The sequence below is a fragment of the Homo sapiens genome, chromosome 7, assembly GCF_000001405.40.
Source record: "Homo sapiens chromosome 7, GRCh38.p14 Primary Assembly".
Lineage (NCBI taxonomy): Eukaryota > Metazoa > Chordata > Mammalia > Primates > Hominidae > Homo > Homo sapiens.
Window position 1 is genome coordinate 35,143,975 of NC_000007.14, and position 20,730 is coordinate 35,164,704.

The following is a 20,730-nucleotide window of genomic DNA, read 5'->3' on the forward strand; positions in this document are numbered from 1 at the left end:
GCTTTAGAAACAGGATATGGGCTCAGCTCACTTAAGCAATGATGAGCTTTATGATTAAAGCTCGCAGAAATGGTTCCAGGTAAAATTCTGCTCTACAGACAAAACAGCCAACATTTAGCTGAATTAGAAGCAGAACGTCCTGCTGTGAAGAGTAGGATTGGCCCTTAGCATGCTGCGTAGCTTGGCACCCAGAATGATTCTCAGGACAAAAGGAAAATCTATAGGTAGATATATACAGATATTATCTCAAACACCAAAAATAACATTTGTGAATAAAAATAATAGAAAAAGTCTTTCACATGTCGAGCCTTAAAATCTGTCAAACTAACCAATACAGTAAAAGAATGTGGAATTATATTATTTCATAAAAATCATACCTTTAAGTAAACTTTATTCCCTATTTTGAAAATCTTTTAGGGCGTAAATGTAACCATATTTAAAAATTTCTATGGAAACAACCAAGTACATCTTGCATTCAACTTAATTAATATACACAAACGAATATAAATCATTCTATTACAAAGACACGTGCACCCATGTCTTCACTGCAGCACTATTCACAATAGCAAAGACATGGAATTAACCCAAATGCCCATCAGTGATAGACTGGATAAAGAAAATGTGGTACATATATACCATGGAATACTATGCAGCCATAAAAAGGAACAAGATCAGGTCCTTTGCAGGGACATGAATGGAGCTGGAGGCCATTATCCTCAGCAACAGGAGCAGAAAACCAAACACCACATGTTCTCACTTATAAGTGGGAGCTGAACAATGAGAATACATGGACACAGGGAGAGGAACAACACACACTGGGGCCTGTCAAGGGATGGGGTGGGGAAAACATTAGGAAAACCAGCTAATGCATGCTGGGCTTAATACCTAGGTGATGGGTTGATAGATGCAAAAACCACCATGGCATACATTTACCTATGTAACAAACCTGTACATCCCGCACATGTACCCCAGAACTTAAAATAAAAATAAAAATTAATTTAAAAAAATCATCTTACCTGTGTAAAAAGTATAAACTGAGCAAATTGCCAGGGAAGCATAAAAGCAACATTGGAAAGACAGAGTGCAATGAAGGGCCTTCTATCATTGCTTGAGGTCCTTAATAGAGAGAATTGATACCAGTAAGTTTCACCCTAAAAATGGGCTGTCACTGAAAAGAAAGACTAATTGCAAAATGATAAAATCTACATTATTCCATTACCTTTACTATAATACAACAAAATATAGTTAACTTTTTAAAGTATACTAAAAAGAACTTGAAATACTTCATTCCTTGCATGAAACAATCAAAATTAGAGTTTTAAAATTAACATTGTAACTTACCATTAAATATTTTAAATACAAAAGCTCTTTTTCCTCTACATATGCATGACATTAGAAATTTATTACTCCAGCAAGGAGGTCAGAAAATAGGATGCGGCGCTACCCCTGCACACCTCAACATGCTTCTCCTGTATGTGTAGCAACAACTTTTGTATACCACCACTTTTGTGCTTCAAAAAACATTGAAGAGAAATATAAGTGCTGACAAAGTAATAAGTTAAAAACTATGGGAAAAATTTAAGGAAAAGGAATCTTAAAAAATTAAAAAATCATTCTAGAATTCAGCTGAAGCATGTGGAAGTTTAAATTGTCCATTCTGCATTACTGAGATGTATTGGGAACCAATACCTTTTACCACAGAGAATTACAGTAACTTTTAGATATGAAAAAAGAAACACAAACATTTTACATAAATAATAAAACTGTAACTCTTCCTTTTATAAATTCTGTATTGGATTTTGATGAATCTTTGTACAATCATATATAAATTTTCAAAAACAAAATTCTAAATGTTCATATTGTTTACAATATTATCATAAAATACTCATTATGTACTTTGTAATCTTATATTTTTCAGACAAAAATTACTTTTGACTAAGACACAGAGTATAGCACATGCCCTCAATGATACAACCCTAAATGTTCTCATTAAGACATTTTATTCCATGAAACCCCTGACTGACCAGACTGATATCACTTCAAAAAAATAAAAATAACCCACCTTCGTAGGAATTAAACTGGGAATGAATAGCAAGGGGTGATGAAGAATGGGCAGCTTCCATCACCTAATCTTTGAGAGAAGGCAAAGTGCCGAGCAAAGCTATAGAAATCTGAATGAGGAGAGGTTCCTAAATCCAAATTCAACCCCAGAATATACTTGTCAGGTTGGTAAGAAATCAGAAGTTAGCCTGCTCCATTCTCAAGGTTTGTGCCACCCCAGTACACTACTATTTACCACTCTTCAATTAGCTTTATCTGAATGCCACAAATATTTGCATGGACGTGTGCAGTGTTCTGTGGTTAAAGAGATAAATATGGCATGGTCCCTGTTTCCAGTAGTACTTTTAAATACATATAATTGGCCAGGCACAGTGGCTCACACCTGTAATCCCAGCACTTTAGGAGGCTGAAGTGGGTGGATCACTTGAGGTCAGGAGTTCGAGACCAGCCTAGCGAACATGGTAAAACCCTGCCTCTACTAAAAATACAAAAATTAGCTGGGGGTGGTGGCGTGCACCTGTAATCCCAGCTACTTGGGAGGCTGAGGCAGGAGAATCGCTTGAACCCGGGAAGCAGAGGTTGCAGTGAGCCGATCGTGCCACTGCACTCCAGCCTGGGTGACAGAGCAAGACCTCATCTCTAAATAAATATATAAAGATTTGTGTATGTGTGGAAGATTCATAAGTTTACTGTTTTAAAAAACAAGGAAGACAAACAAATGATTTTTATATAAGGCAGAATCTGCCAGGGACTAGTAGGTGAAGAATGGGGTCCTCTGGGAGTTTGGAGGAGATAGTGATCATTATTTCATTCAGTGAGAGTTCTCATTAGTATTCTATCAAACTTATTTCTCTGATAAGGTTATTTATACTATTCTACCACTTATGGGGTTTTTTGTTCATTTCTCAGACCTCTTAAATATCTAAAGTGCTTATAAATGTAATCCCTACAAAAAAAGTGTATCCAAAAAAAAAGTTTGAAATGAAACTGGTTGTCCTGTTAGAAACATTGGTTGTTCAGAAATGCTTCATAAATATGTGAACATATGTACTCCTTATCCATCTAACTCTGCATTTCCCAAATTCATTTGCCCAGAGAACATTTTTTTCATGGCACAGTTATCAAAACCACAGGTTAGAAAACAATGTCAGAGTACTTAGACTGTGAAGAGAAAATGTAATTGTTTCTCAAAAACTTTTGAATCTTGGCAAACTATATACAAACACATACCTTTTGGTTTATTAAAACATAATGTAGTTATCTAAAACCTGTAGCCTACACTCTTAAATGGAGAGCAATTTTTACATAGCAATTTTGAATTATTTTCTTAACTCTATACTCAATTTACTTTTAAAATAACTAAAAAGTGGTCTAAATTTGGTAATTACAACTTCATAGATTGAAGTATATATATGTAATATATATATTTACATTTTTTTAGAGGGAGTCTTGCTCTCTTGCCCAGGCTGGAGTGCAGTGGCACAATCTCAGCTCACTGCAATCTCTGCCTCCCGGATTCAAGCAATTCTCCTTCCTCAGCCTCCCAAGTAGCTGGAATGACAGATGCACACCACCATGCCTGGCTAATTTTTGTATTTTAGTAGAGATGTGGTTTCACCATGTTGGCCAGGCTGGTCTCGAACTCCTGACCTCAAGTGATCCACCCACCTCAGCCTCCCAAAGTGCTGAATTGAAGTATATTTTAAGAAACTTAAATTATAATTTATTTGCCTTTGTTTTACAAATCAAAGTTACCTGAGAATCAAAGTTAAAATATACATCTGAAGTACAAGGAAAGGATAGGAAAAACTTTCATGGAGAGGTGGTGTCCACATCACACGGGTGGCCTGCAATCAACAAAATGCCCACTTTACATCCTGTTTACTACAACAAACATATTAAAAAACCAGGGGTGAGTTTGTTTTAGTAATTTTAATACTAGGCTCACTAGATCCCATTTCTGAGTGTCTGGCATAGCTTCTCAGTTTTTGAAGCTCTCTTAACTCATGAGGCCATTATGTAGAGAGCAATTAACTACCATGTCCAGAAACCAGCAACAGATATATCAGACCGAGCAAAAGGAAACCCAAGGGACAAATAAGATTGTACGTATAAGAGTTGTGAGAATTCTGGGACTGACCAACTAGATCCACAGCCCAGCCCCGCAGTATGATCCTGGCATATGATTCTTGGCATCCCAGGCTTTGGGATATATGCATGCCAAGACAAATAGCTAAACAAATGTCACCTAGGTCATTTGCAAGCACTGAGAGAGTTTCTACATAACAAGTATGAATGAATATAAATACACACTTCGAATAGCTATGATTGCCTCAGAATTTGTAAAATGTACCTTAAAAAAGGTTAAGTATATATTTTAAAAACAACTAGAAGTATTTGGGAACTACAAATGTGATGCATGTAATGAAAGTATTAAATTTTCATACAAACTTTAAAATTACTTCTAAGACATATGGGTCAGAGTATTGGAAAAATTTTCCATCAAAAATTCTGAAATTCTAGAAAGAATGTGAACTCTTATTATTTTGCAAGAGTCTTAAAAGTTATTGCTTCTCTTCCAAGATACCAAAATTGTAAATGTTGGAAGAGGAATTATGATACATATAAGAAAGTCAACTTATACCAACAGTTGTCTGGAACACTCAGAGAAAAACCTTTGTCTTTATGACAGCACATTGTTGAGTGACAATGCATTTGTTTGCTTTAAAATAATATATATAAGGCTTTTATGTATAATTTTTATGATTCCTTTACCTAACTGATTTTTAAAAATTAACCCAAAAGCAATGGATAAAAGTACTTCTACCCTGGCTGGGCGTGGTGGCTCACGCCTGTAATCCCCAGTACTTTGGGAGGCCAAGGTGGGTGGATCATGAGGTCAGGAGTTTGAGACCAGCCTGGCCAACATGGTGAAACTCCATCTCTACTAAAAATACAAAAATTTAGCTGAGCATGGTGGCACATGCCTGTAATGCCAGCTACTCAGGAGGCTGAGGCAGGAGAATTGCTTGAACCTGGGAGACAGAGGTTGCAGTGAGCTGAGATAGCGCCACTGCACTCCAGCCTGGGTGACAGAGCAAGACTCCATCTTGAAAAAAAAAAAAGTACTTCTACCCTATGTAACCTGTGTTATAACATATTAAATGTTTTGCTCCCAAGAGCTAGTAGTCAGAATCTCTCTCTTTTTCATTGCCATATCCTCAGCATCTAGCAGAGCATGGACATGCTATGTACTCAATAATTTGTTGAATGAATCCATTGTATTTGAAATAAGCTTCTATGAGCTCTTTTTTAGGTGGACTATGTTTCATTGGGCTGAATTAGTAAGTTAATGTCTATTTTGAATTCAGCATTTTGCATTACTGAACAGACAGCATGATGTAACAGAAAGCAGTGAGGGAGCAGGTGGCAGTGTCTTAACTGTATCCCTGCTGTCAGGCCTGAGGCCTCTTTCATTGTTGTTAAGGGGAGTGCAATGTATACAAAGTTTCAGTTAGGCAAGATGAATAAGTTCTGGAGATCTGCTATACAACTTTGTGTTAATACTATATTGTACACTTAAAAATCTGTTAAGAGGGCAGATCATATGTTACTTATTCTGACCACAATAAAAAAGTTGAATATATATGTTATATATATAATATATAAGTTTTTATAAAATATAACTATAATTTTATAATTTATAAAATATAAATTAATATATATGTGAGGTTTTAGAGGCAGACAGACATAGAATGGGAAATCCAGTTTCATCATGTAGTAAATGTGGAATGTGGATAAGTAACTTAACTTTCTCTAAATTCAAATTTCATAACTTGTATGGTGAGGCTACCACCACCCACAAAAAAAGTTTAGTGGGAATAAATCAGATAATGTGCATAATATGATTCAACTCAACAAGTACAATATTTCCTTTTCTCTACAGAATATATGTATATGTACATATTTACTAAAATTAAGGCAAGAGATTTCATGTTTGAAATTCTAGCTATTTAAACATTTCAATCAACATGATTAAAATATCAACTTACAACACGAGGGTCTTTAAAATATTGTGAAGTCATAAGTAGTATACAATTAAATATTGTTTTGATGAGTATATTTCCTTGTTCCTCTACAGCCTCTTCTATTTCTTAAAAATTGCTTTCTAGAAAACAAACCTCTCCATGGTTGAAAAAGAAGCACAGTACTGTAATAAGACCTCCCAGTTGAGTCCCACTGTTAAAAAAAAAAAAATAGAGTATACAATCAAAATTCATGTAAAATACAGTGAATTTTTCACAAAATTAACTCAGAATTTAAAATCACAGTTTTCTATATTTAAAACATAATAGTACTAAACCATACCCATGTGGTTGAAGTTTAAATTCTGAATGTACAATTCTAAAAAGTGTATGTATAAATTAATCTCAATTGTATAATTTATTATAGCTAAAATACTTTCTAAATAAAATACATAAGGTGTGAACATAATCTTTTTTTTGAGACGGGGTCTTGCTCTGTTGCCCAGGCTGGAATGCAGTGGCGAAATCTCGGCTCACAGCAACCTCCGCCTCCTGGGTTCCAACGATTCTCCTGCCTCAGGCTCCTGAGTAGCTCGGATTATAGGCGCATGCTGCCACGCCCGGCTAATTTTTTTACTTTTAGCCGAGACAGGGTTTCACCGTGTTGGCTAAGCTAGTCTCGAACTCTTGACCTCGTGATCCACCCGCCTCGGCCTCCCAAAGTGCTGAGATTACAATTGTGAGCCAACGCGCCCGGCCACATAAAATCATTTTTAAGAAGCAGGCTAGCACTTTAGAGTCTAGATCACATCCTTTGAATACTCTGAATAAAAGCAAATTTTATCTTTTGAAATTGGATTTAAGGGACTGAGAGATGAAGACAAGATTCTAACAGTTTCACGTAGCATTAACTTAGAACTGTCTAAACTACTGCAAATATTCTTTACTTGAGTCCCAGAGAAGCAATAACGCAGAATACAAAATTCAGATGAAAGATAAAAACCTTTGTTGTTGTTGTTGTTGTTTTGTTTTGTTTTGAGACAGACTCTCGCTCTGTCACCCAGGCTGGAGTGCAGTGGCGCGATCTCGGCTCACTGCAACCTCTGCCTCCCTGGTTCAAGCCGATTCTTCTGCCTCAGCCTCCCGAGTAGCTGGGATTACAGGCACATGCCACCACACCTGGCTGATTTTTGTATTTTTTAGTAGAGACGGTGTTTCGCCATGTTGGCCAGGCTGGTCTCAAACTCCTGACTTCAAGTGATCCGGCCACCTCAGCCTCCCAAAGTGCTGGGATTACAGGCATGAGCCACCGCACCTGGCCAAAAACCATTTCTTAAATTGCCTTTTTGTGATCATGTCTGTGTATGAGAATGCAGATGCTCAATCCCACATCTGTGTAGTGTTTCTATGCTTCCATTTATCTTCCCTCCATACACCACTTCCCTAGTCTAACACATTCTAAGCACCATGAGGACAGGGACAGGTTCTTTATCTGTCTTGTTCATTACTATATCCCCAGCTTCACACTTGGAAGATTAATAAATATTGGTTGAATTAATGAAGAAAGAAAGGAAGGAAACAGCAGAGGAAAGCTCATGGGAAATGATTTACCATTTAATAAAGTTTCACAGAGAAAATACAAAGGATGAACTTCAAAGAGGAAGAAATTGAAAGAAAGAATGGGTGAGCAGCAACGACCAGTTGTACATTGAGGAACTGGGGAAATGTGGATAAATCAAAGTAAGATGAGTTGGTTGGGGGTGGAGCCAAGATGGCTGAATAGGAACAGCTCCAGTCTACAGCTCCCAGCGTGAGCAATGCAGAAGACGGGTGATTTCTGCATTTCCAACTGAGGTACTGTGTTCATCTCACTGGGGATTGTCGGAAAGTGGGTGCAGGACAGTGGGTGCAGTGCACCAAGCATGAGCCGAAGCAGGGAAAGGCATTCCCTCACCTGGGAAGCGCATGGGGTCAGGGAATTCCCTTTCCTAATCAAAGAAAGGGGTGACAGAAGGCACCTGGAAAATCGGGTCACTCCCACCCTAATACTGCACTTTTCCAACGGTCTTAGCAAACAGCACACCAGGAGATTATATCCCGCACCTGGCTCGGAGGGTCCTATGCCCACAGAACCTCCCTCATAGCTAGCACAGCAGTCTGAGATCAAACTGCAAGGTGGCAGCGAGGATGGGGGAGGGGCGCCTGCCATTACCAAGGCTTGAGTAGGTAAGCAAAGCAGCCAGGAAGCACGAACTGGGTGGAGCCCACCGCAGCTCAAGGAGGACTGCCTGCCTCTGTAGACTCCACCTCTGGGGGCAGGACATTGCCAAACAAAAGGCAGCAGAATCCTCTGCAGACTTAAATGTCCCTGTCTGACAGCTTTGAAGAGTAGTGGTTCTCCCAGCACGCAGCTAGAGATCTGAGAACAGACAGACTGCCTCCCCAAGTGGGTCCCTGACCTCAGAGTAGCAAAACTGAGAGGCACCCCCCAGTAGGCGCAGACTGACACCTCACACAGCCGGGTGCTCCTCTGAGACAAAACTTCCAGAGGAATGATCAGGGAGCAACATTTGCTGTTCACCAATATCCACTGTTCTGCAGCATCCACTGCTGACACCCATGCAAACAGGGTCTGGAGTAGACCTCCAGCAAACTCCAACAGACCTGCAGCTGAGGGTCCTGACAGTTAGAAGGAAAACTAACAAACAGAAAGGACATCCACACCAAAACTCCATCTGTACGTCACCATCATCAAAGACCAAAGGTAGATAAAACCACAAAGATGGGGAAAAAACAGAGCAGAAAAACTGGAAACTCTAAAAATCAGAGTGCCTCTCCTCCTCCAAAGGAACACAGCTCCTCACCAGCAATGGAACAAAGCTGGATGGAGAATGACTTTGAGGAGTTGAGAGAAGAAGGCTTCAGATGATCAAACTACTCCGAGCTAAAGGAGGAAGTTCGAACACATGGCAAAGAAGTTAAAAACCTTGAAAAACAATTAGACGAATGGCTAACTAGAATAACCAATGCAGAGAAGTCCTTAAAGGACCTGATGGAGCTGAAAACCAAGGCACAAGAACTACATGACGAATGCACAAGCCTCAGTAGCCAATTCGATCAACTGGAAGAAAGGGTATCAGTGACGGATGATCAAATGAATGAAATGAAGTGAGAAGAGAAGTTTAGAGAAAAAAGAATAAAAAGAAACGAACAAAGCCTCCAAGAAATATGGGACTACGTGAAAAGACCAAATCTACGTCTGATTGGTGTACCTGAAACTGACGGGGAGAATGGAACCAAGTTGGAAAACACTCTGCAGGATACTATCCAGGAGAACTTCCCCAGTCTAGCAAGGCAGGCCAACATTCAAATTCAGGAAATACAGAGAACGCCACAAAGATACTCCTTGAGAAGAGCAACTCCAAGACACATAATTGTCAGATTCACCAAAATGGAAATGCAGGAAAAATTGTTAAGGGCAGCCAGAGAGAAAGGTCAGGTTACCCACAAAGGGAAGCCCATCAGACTAACAGCTGATCTCTTGGCAGAAACTCTACAAGCCAGAAGAGAGTGGGGGACAATATTCAACATTCTTAAAGGAAAGAATTTTCAACCCAGAATTTCATATCCAGACAAACTAAGCTTCATAAGTGAAGGAGAAATAAAATCCTTTAGAGACAAGCAAATGCTGAGAGATTTTGTCACCACTAGGCCTGCCCTAAAAGAGCTCCTGAAGGAAGCGCTAAACATGGAAAGGAACAACCAGTACCAGCCGCTGCAAAATCAAGCCAAAATGTAAAGACCATCGAGACTAGGAAGAAACTGCATTAACTAATGAGCAAAATCACCAGCTAACATCATAATGACAGGATCAAATTCACACATAACACTATTAACTTTAAATGTAAATGGACTAAATGCTCCAATTAAAAGACACAGACTGGCAAACTGGATAAAGAGTCAAGACCCATCAGTGTGCTGTATTCAGGAAACCCATCTCACGTGCAGAGACACACATAGGCTCAAAATAAAAGGATGGAGGAAGATCTACCAAGCCAATGGAAAACAAAAAAAGGCAGGGGTTGCAATCCTAGTCTCTGATAAAACAGACTTTAAACCAACAAAGATCAAAAGAGACAAAGAAGGCCAGTACATAATGGTAAAGGGATCAATTCAACAAGAAGAGCTAACTATCCTAAATATATATGCACCCAATACAGGAGCACCCAGATTCATAAAGCAAGTCCTGAGGGACCTACAAAGAGACTTAGACTCCCACACAATAATAATGGGAGACTTTAACACCCCACTGTCAACATTAGACAGAACCCCGAGACAGAAAGTTAACAAGGATATCCAGGAATTGAACTCAGCTCTGCACCAAGCAGACCTAATAGACATCTATAGAACTCTCGATCCCAAATCAACAGAATATACATTCTTCTCAGCACCACACCACACTTATTCCAAAATTGACCATATAGTTGGAAGTAAAGCACTCCTCAGCAAATGTAAAAGAACAGAAATTATAACAAACTGACTCTCAGATGGCAGCGCAATCAAACTAGAATTCAGGATTGATAAACTAACTCAAAACCGCTCAACTAAATGGAAACTGAATAACCTGCTCCTGAATGACTACTGGGTACATAACGAAATGAAGGCAGAAATAAAGATGTTCTTTGAAACAAATGAGAACAAAGACACAACATACTAGAATCTCTGGGACACATTCAAAGCAGTGTGTAGAGGGAAATTTATAGCACTAAATGCCCACAAGAGAAAGCAGGACAGATCTAAAATTGACACCCTAACATCACAATTAAAAGAACTAGAGAAGCATGAGCAAACACATTCAAAAGCTAGCAGAAAGCAAGAAATAACTAAGATCAGAGCAGAACTGAAGGAGATAGAGACACAAAAAACCCTTCAAAACATCAATGAATCCAGGAGCTGGTTTTTTGGAAAGATCAACAAATTGATAGACCACTAGCAAGATAATAAAGAAGAAAAGAGAGAAGAATCAAATAGATGCAATAAAAAATGATAAAGGGGATATCACCACCGATCCCTCAGAAATACAAACTACCATCAGAGAATACTATAAACACCTCTATGCAAATAAACTAGAAAATCTAGAATGGATAAATTCCTGGAAATATACACTCTCCCAAGACTAAACCAGGAAGAAGTTGAATCTCTGAATAGACCAATAACACGCTCTGAAATTGAGGCAATAATTAATAGCCTACCAACCCAAAAAAGTCCAGGACTAGACAGATTCATAGCCCAATTCTACCAGAGGTAAAAGGAGGAGCTGGTACCATTCCTTCTGAAACTATTCCAATCAATAGAAAAAGAGGGAATCCTCCCTAACTCATTTTATGAGGCCAGCATCATTCTGATACCAAAGTCTGGCAGAGACACAACAAAAAAACAGAATTTTAGACCAATATCCCTGATGAACAATGATGCAAAAATCCTCAATAAAATACTGGCAAACCGAATCCAGCAGCACATCTAAAAGCTTATCCACCATGATCAAGTGGGCTTCATCCCTGGGATGCAAGGCTGGTTCAACATACACAAATCAATAAACATAATCCAGCATATAAACAGAACCAACGTCAAAAACCATATGATTACCTCAATAGATGCAGAAAAGGCCTTTGACAAAATTCAACAATCCCTCATGCTAAAAACTCTCAATAAATTAGGTATTGATGGGACATATCTCAAAATAATAAGAGCTATCTATGACAAACCCACAGCCAATATCATACTGAATGGGCAAAAACTGGAAGCATTCCCTTTGAAAACTGGCACAAGACAGGGATGCTCTCTCTCACCACTCCTATACAACATAGTGTTGGATGTTCTGGCCAGGGCAATCAGGCAGGAGAAGGAAATAAAAGGTATTCAATTAGGAAAAGAGGAAGTCAAATTGTCCCTGTTTGCAGATGACATGATTGTATATCTAGAAAACCCGATTGTCTCAGCCCAAAATCTCCTTAAGCTGATAAGCAACTTCAGCAAAGTCTCAGGAATCAAAATCAATGTGCAAAAATCACAAGCATTCTTATACACCAATAACAGACAAACAGAGAGCCAAATCATGAGTGAACTCTCATTCACAATTGCTTCAAAGAGAATAAAATACCTAGGAATCCAACTTACAAGGGATGTGAAGGACCTCCTCAAGGAGAACTAGAAACCACTGCTCAATGAAATAAAAGAGGATACAAACAAATGGAAGAAATTCCACGCCCATGGGTAGGAAGGATCAATATCGTGAAAATGGCCAACTGCTCAAGGTAATTTATATATTCAATGCCATCCCCATCAAGCTACCAATGACTTTCTTCACAGAATTGGAAAAAACTACTTAAAAGTTCATATGGAATCAAAAGAAGAGCCCGCATTGCCAAGACAATCCTAAGCCAAAAGAACAAAGCTGGAGGCATCACGCTACCTGACTTCAAACTACACTACAAGGCTACAGTAACCAAAACAGCATGGTACTGGTACCAAAACTGAGATATAGACCCATGGAACAGAACAGAGCCCTCAGAAATAATGCTGCGTATCTACAACCATCTGATCTTTGACAAACCTGACAAAAACAAGCAATGGGGAAACGATTCCCTATTTAATAAATGGTGCTGGGAAAACTGGCTAGCCATATGTAGAAAGCTGACACTGGAGCCCTTCCTTACACCTTTTACAAAAATTAATTCAAGATTGATTAAAGACTTATATGTTAGACCTAAATACCACAAAAACCCTAGAAGAAAAACTAGGCAATACCATTCGGGACATAGGCATGGGCAAGGACTTCATGACTAAAACACCAAAAGCAATGGCAACAAAAGCCAAAATTGACAAATGGGATCTAATTAAACTAAAGAGCTTCTGCACAGCAAAAGAAACTACCATCAGAGTGAACAGGCAACCTACAGAATGGGAGAAAATTTTTACTATCTACCCATCTGACAAAGGGCTAATATCCAGAATCTGCAAAGAACTTAAACAAATTTATAAGAAAAAAATCAAACAACCCCATCAAAAAGTGGACAAAGGATATGAACAGACACTTCTCAAAAGAAGACATTTATGCAGCCAACAGACACATGAAAAAATGCTCATCACTGGCCATCAGAGAACTGCAAATCAAAACCACAATGAGATACCATCTCACACCAGTTAGAATGGCAATCATTAAAAAGTCAGGAAACAACAGGTGCTGGAGAGGATGTGGAGAAATAGGAACACTTTTACACTGTTGGTGGGACTGTAAACTAGTTCAACCACTGTGGAAGACAGTGTGGCAATTCCTCAAAGATCTAGAACTAGAAATACCATTTGACCCAGCCATCCCATTACTGGGTATATACCCAAAGGATTGTAAATCATGCTGCTATAAAGACGCATGCACACATGTTTATTGTGGCACTATTCACAATAGCAAAGACTTGAAACCAACCCAAATGTCCATCAATGATAGACTGGATTAAGAAAATGTGGCACATATACACCATGGAATACTATGCAGCCATAAAAAATGATGAGTTCACATCCTTTGTAGGGACATGGATGAAGCTGGAAACCATCATTCTGAGCAAACTGTCGCAAGGACAGAAAACCAAACACCGCATGTTCTCACTCATAGGTGGGAATTGAACAAGGAGAACACTTGGACACAGTTTGGGGAACATCACACACCGGGGCCTGTCATGGGGTGGGGGGAGGGAGGAGGGATAGCATTAGGAGATATACCTAATGTTAATAACGAGTTATTGGGTGCAGCACACCAACATGGCACAAGTATACATATGTAACAAACGTGCACGTTGTGCACATGTGTCCTAAAACTTAAAGTATAATAATAATAGAAAAAAAGATACAAGAGGATGTTTTGAAGAAAAGCATTCCAAGATTCCTTGTTTGATTGGAAGAAGGGGAAAGATATCAATGTATTTTATACTTGAACAAATCATATCTGTATGTTAAAATTTTATGGTTAGCCACCAAAAGAATAGAAGTAGCATATCTACCTTCCCAGTTAGTGTCAGTGGGGAGGGTAGCCATGGTAACAAATACAAAAGTTTTCCCCAAATTTCTATTTATTTTGCTCCTCGAATGCCAGTTTCCAATCTCCTCACAGTTTTGATGACACCTCTTCAGTCAATATTCGTTGACTCTGTATATCCTTATTAAAGCCTAGATAGAGCCTAATATTGTATTTTATATTCCAGGACTATATAACCAATTTAGAGAGACTAGCACCTCTTCGGTAGCCCTCCTAATGAAATATACTGATTTTTAAAGTTTTAGTCATTGTTGTGTAACATTTTCCATATGAAAAAACAAAAAAGATAAGAAATACAAACCATTTTCAAAAACAGAACTTATTTATTCATTTATTCATTTTTTTATTTTTAGTTTTGAGACTGAGTCTCGCTCTGTCGCCCAGGCTGGAGTGCAGTGGCGCGATGTCGGCTCACTGCACACTCCACCTTCCGGGTTCACGCCATTCTCCTGCCTCAACCTTGCGAGTAGCTGGGACTACAGGCGCCCGCCACCACGCCCGGCTAATTTTTTTTTTTGTATTTTTTTGTATTTTTAGTAGAGACAGGGTTTCACCTTGTTAGACAGGTTGGTCTCGATCTCCTGACCTCATGATCCGCCCGCCTCGGCCTCCCAAAGTGCTGGGATTACAGGAGTGAGCCACTGCTCCCAGCCCAAAAACAGAACTTTTTTTAAAAAAAGAACATTTTTAAAGCTGCCCACACAATCTCAAAGCAATCCTTTTCCCTCAAAATACTTTAATGAGCTTATATTTTTTCTATATGGCATATAGAAAAGTGCATAACATTTCTAGCTTATAGAACTATTGTAAAAGGAACGTCCATGTAGTCACCATATAATTAACTGAAATAGAGAAATTATTATACTGAGTCTCCACTTGCCAGCCTCCAAGATAAGAATCAGCTACTGACCTGATTTTTGAGATCATCAACATAACCATTTCTATATACATATCAAACTATGATTTACTTTAATCTGTTTTTAAACAACATACAAATGGAAGTATGGAGTATTTTTTTTAATTTCGTACCTGGATTCATTCATTCAAAATTATATTTGTAAGATTCCACCATGTTGTGTGTAGCTGCATAGTTCATTCATTCTCATTATTGTATACTGTTCCACCATGTTAATAAACCAAAATGTATTCATTTCTCTGTTAATGGATATTTGGGTTGTTTCCAGTTTGAAGCTATTGCAAATAATGCTACTATATTATTGCATGTACTTCCCAGTACACATGTGCAACACTTTTTTGGGAATATATACTTTAAATTAGAATTACTGAGTTACAAGGTATCTATATCTTGAACGTTATCAGATAATGTACACTGTTTACCAAAATAGTTGTACCAATTTATATGTCCACCTGTGGTGGATGAAAGCTCCTTTATCAATCTATTAGATGTGAGCTGGTATTTCACTGTGGTTGAATTTGTATTTTCTTTATGACTAATGATGGTGGTCAACTTTACATATGTTTATTGACCATTTGGTATTCTTCTGGGAAATATCAGTTCATAAACAATTTGTCCATTTTTCTATCAGGTTGTCTTTCTTCCTTATCTTCCCACTCTAATATAAACTTCACAAGGACAGAGATTTCTGTCCTGTATTCCAAGCACCTAGAACAGTGCTCCTGGTCACAACAGTCTTTCAATAAATATTTATCAAATTAATGAATGAAATTTCTGGATAGTAGGTGGGGTATACACTTTGTAAATATCTTCACTCACTTTGCAGTTTATTTTTTATCCTACAGTTCTTTTGAGGAACTGAAGTTCCTTTCATCAAATTTATCAGTTTTTCTTCATGACTGGATTTTTCTATCTTGTTTATGAAATCATTTCTTATTCTAAGTGACTTTTTCTATATTATATGCTGAACACTTTATAAATTTGTCTTTCATATTTGAGTGTTTAATCCAACTTGGATTTATTACTTATATAGTTCCAATTTCTCCTTGTTCCATATGATCTCCCAATTATTTCAGCACTATTTATTAAAATGCCTGTCCTTACTCACCAATCTGCGATACCCACTCTTCCATATATCAAATGCCTTTAAATGTACATTTCTGCTTCTGGGCTCTACTCTATTGCAGTTATCTATTTGTCTATTGCTATGCCAATATCATAGTGTCTTTTTACATTAGCTTTATAATACAGCAACAATTGATAGTGCAAATCCTCCTTTTTCAAGAATACCTTGACTGTATTTCTCCCTTTGCATTTCTGAATAACTTTTAAATCAGCTCATCAAAGTCAACAAAAAATATGTTGGAATTTTGACTTGTAGAGCACTGAATCTATAAAGCTTTTTAATATCGAGTCTTCAATCAATGAATGTGGAATATCTCTCCACTTAGATTTTCCTAGACATATCTCAGGAATGTTTTAATCATTTTCCCATAGCTGTCATATGTATCTTTTGTTGGGTTTATTCTGAGGAATATCGTGCTTTTAATGCTATTCTAAATAGCATCCTTTCAAAATTTCATTTTCTATTTGATGCTAAAGTATAAAATTTATAATTTTGAATTTTAATATTAATGCTTACATCTAGTAACATTGTAAATTTTCTTATTATTGCAAATACTGTATCCATAAACTTTTAACATTTTTCTAGATACATGATGTAATCTACTTTTAAGAACACATTTCTTTTTTTTCAAGTTTTCCAATCCTTATACTTATTACTACTTTTCTTTTTATATACCATGCTGGATAGTATCCCTGGCACAATACTGACTATGTCACTAGTTTTCATTGATTCTATGCTAGTCTTTTTTTATGCTGAAAACTTCCTAAAACAAAGAGTGTGTATATTTACTAATCTCTATATTGACATAAGCCCCATGAAAACTCAATAAATATTTGTTGAAAGAGTAAAGCTATCAATTAATTTTAATTTTAATTTTAAATATTTTGCACGATAAGAATAACATTGTAAAGAAATCTGATGATTCAGCTAGGAATATGCTCCACTGAAAGAAACAGAAAACCTAACAAAAGTGGCTTACACAATATGGATGTTGTTTACTGTATCATCCAACAAGAAAATGAAAGATAAGTATCTGTTGGCATTGGTTCAGCAGCAGAAGGATGGTAGGCCAGATATATCTGCTATTTTTATGACCTTTCCCTTATGGTCACAAGATGACTGCTACAGTTCTGGGCATGACATCCTAGTGCAATAAAAGCAGGAAGAAACAGAGAAGGGGCAGCTAAGTCTGTCCTTTTGTGAGAAAGGCAGATACTTTATTAGATGTAACCAAAACTGACTTCAACTTAGTTTTCATTGGCAAAAACTAGCTGATATGGCTATCTCAGGGAGCAATTAAGTGTGGGGGCAAAACACATGACCATTGAGATTAATTTCAACTTATCACCTGAGACTGGTCTCGCTGCTGCTTCATCGTGGTACTCTTATCAAGACAGACATGCTAGCAGATGTAAGTGCCTGCCACATGTGATTCACAGTTTTTCCTACTGCTTTCTTAATTTCATCCTTAGAGAATACAATTAGAAATAAGCTGCTACTACTGCTAACCAAAGATCTCCTCCAATGTTTTATTAATTTTACACATGAACTAGGAGATATTCCATTAAAGACTTTGTTAGGAAATCTGTTTAAACAACAGAATAAAAGGGACGACTTTGAGATAGAATTTTAGTGACATCTCCAGTTTCTGGTTACATGATATTGGTTAAGCTTCTGAAAAATCAAGTAAATCCACAAACTTTCCTGATATGAATCAATCTCATTAATTTTCCTTTTCATTTAATCAACGAATATCAGCCAGTCTGTAAAAGCCCACTGAAAGGTCCCTTAATTCAGTAGTAGTCTTACCTCAGGTATGCTCCATACATGAAGAACAATCCCATCATTAGTCCATTTAAAATAAAGATTACACCAACATAAAAGCAAGCAGGATCTCCCAATCCTTTGAAAAGATACAGATAATCAGTGTTTAATGAATATATGACTCTAAAGCAATTGGGCATAATTATCTCAGTGCTTTGCAATCAAGAGCTCATGAATTTGCTGAAAGCATTTGCTTTCCAGATTGCCACTGTGTTTAATTCTTTACCCTTATAACAGTTTGTGTGTGTGTGTGCTTGCAGACACATATATATGTGTGTGTGTATATATATGTGTGTGTATATATACACATACACATATGTAAGCTCACCCTAATGAGCAATTATATAGTTACACTTATACTTTATACTTTTTATAATTGCATTTATACTTTCCTCTAATGAATTACTATTATACTGTAATGATTTGTTGGGGATTCACATTTATTTAGGTGATGCTGCTAGTGTTCAGTGTCTGGAACTGTCTGTAGAACCACTTAATGAATACAAAAGAAAATCCATTACATTATTTTTATCTTTTTCTAGGTTCTAGGAAGAGTTAAGATATGGTTTTGACTTTAGGGTACAGCTTTAGTCTATATGAAATGATCCAGTCATTTGATCCATTATTATGTATAGCTAGAATCTTAGTATATTCCATATAGAAGATCGTGTGTGTGTGTGTGTGGCAATATGTACTTAACAATCATCCCACATTTTTCTCCGAACAAGTTTATGATATTAGCTGGTATAAAAATACTTTTCTTACGGTTGAGAAAACAGAACATAAGATATTCAACTTGTCAAAGGTTATTTCACTTTAACTGGCTGGAGCCAAGGTCTGAAAGCTGGCCTTCTGATTCCCCCTGCCTCTCTGATCACTCCTTTCAGTCAGTTCTAGTAACTTCTCTTGTTTTATGTACCACTCTTTAATATTGGAACACCTTAGGCTCTGTCATATCCCCCCTTCATTTCTCCATCTGCATATTCTCCATAAGGAAATTCTTCTACATCCGTGGCTCCAATGATCTATATACAGATGACTCCAACTCTACATTTAATCCAGAACTTTCTCCTTATTCTTATACCCAGATAGCCACTTGATGTCCCCACTCTGAGGTCTCTCAAGTACCTCAAATTCATGAATACACAATGAAACATAACAATACAAACCTGCTGCTGTTCAAATGTTTCCTATCACTCAAAGGAGCTCAGTTACTTAAGCTAGAAACCAAACTGTGTTTCACATGATTCTTCATTCACCTTCTCCTCTCTTACCAAACAATTACCAAGTCTTGTCCATTCTGCTTCCAAAATCTCTCTCACATCCAGGCATTTCCACATTATCTTTCCTGCAATCACTTGCTGAGAATATAATTGTCTCCTACCTGGCCTCCCTTAACCTACTTTTGTTCCTTTACTAATATTTTTTCCATACCATTGACTAAATAATGTTTTAAAATGGAACTCTGTTAAAATTCTTCAATGGATAAAGTATAAAATCCTTCACCAGTGCACCCCTTTCATGATCTGATCCTTGCTTATATTCCCAGCACCATTTCACATCATTTTTCTTCTCCATCGCTTCTAGGATTTCTAGCCTTTTTTCAGTTCTCTCTTGCTTCAGCATATTTGAATACATTATTCCCTATTCTTAAAATACTTATCCTCTCTTACTCCTAGTGTCGGTAACCTTATTTTCTTATTTGTAATATCCATCACAATTGTAACTGCTAACAGCCCCCTTACAGCATAAACTCTATGAGGATAAGGCCCCACGTCTAGCTGGTTCTTCTCTGTGTCCAAAGTGCCAAACACTAACCTATCACTTATTGGGAATGTAACTAATACCATACTTAGGTGATCATTTTCACCACTCAGACAGGGTCACACCTTCTAGCTGACTGAATCATTGCAAAGTCTTTCATTTTATGAGGCATTTTCTCCAAACCTTTACATTGTACACAAAAAAGTGTAATTGCCCCTCAAACATCCTCATCAATTCTATTTTACTGAGGGAATCAGTAAAAAATGTAAGGAAAATAGATTTAGTTTATGTCCCAAGAGTTGAATGTTGTTACAAACAAGTCTAAAAATTTATTCATAAAATATAGTAAGTCATGTTGTTAAGAATTTGAAGAAATAAAGAAAAAACAACAGTGTTAGTGTTATGAAAATAGATACAAGTGGCTCTGAACGGGAGTCTCAAGGGACAGCACCATACTTGAATTGTAAAAGTACTGAAATGCAAACATCTTAAATGGAAGTGACCACTATGTATCCTGGAAAGCTGTTAGATGATTCCAAAAGCGGTTCTTTGACAAAGAAACCAACGTAGAAGATAAATAGGAAGAGTTTTATTAATACTACTCATGGACTATGAGCATATATAAAAAAGTAATATTTCTAAATCAATCTATTATGGCATATCCAATTTTCAAATATGTATGCATAATTAAATTTATACATTAGCTATTACAAATAGATATTTGACTATTTAATGTATCCTCAAAATTTATATATTGAAGCTACCCCAAAAAACATCTTTCTGTATCTTCTCATTCTGAAATAGAAGACTAACTTATAGTCAAGATTGCCTTACAATGGGATACGTTAATACTCAAATTCCAAAATTTATACTCAAATTTTTAAGTACACAGCCTTCTCAGAAAACTACTTTAAAATGTAAAAAT

At 37.2% G+C, this 20,730-nt stretch overlaps 1 pseudogene across 1 annotated transcript in view; it reads right to left on the minus strand.

Annotated features, from left to right (window-relative positions):
• Nucleotides 1-20,730, minus strand: part of DPY19L2P1 (DPY19L2 pseudogene 1) — a 106,187-nt pseudogene that overhangs the window by 63,986 nt on the left and 21,471 nt on the right. The window contains exons 6-9 of the transcript NR_002833.3: nt 18,027-18,120; nt 6,114-6,300; nt 3,817-3,908; nt 1,017-1,116 (exon numbers count right to left, since the gene is read on the minus strand). The product of NR_002833.3 is annotated as a DPY19L2 pseudogene 1 (transcript). The remainder of the gene's footprint in view (nt 1-1,016; nt 1,117-3,816; nt 3,909-6,113; nt 6,301-18,026; nt 18,121-20,730) is intronic.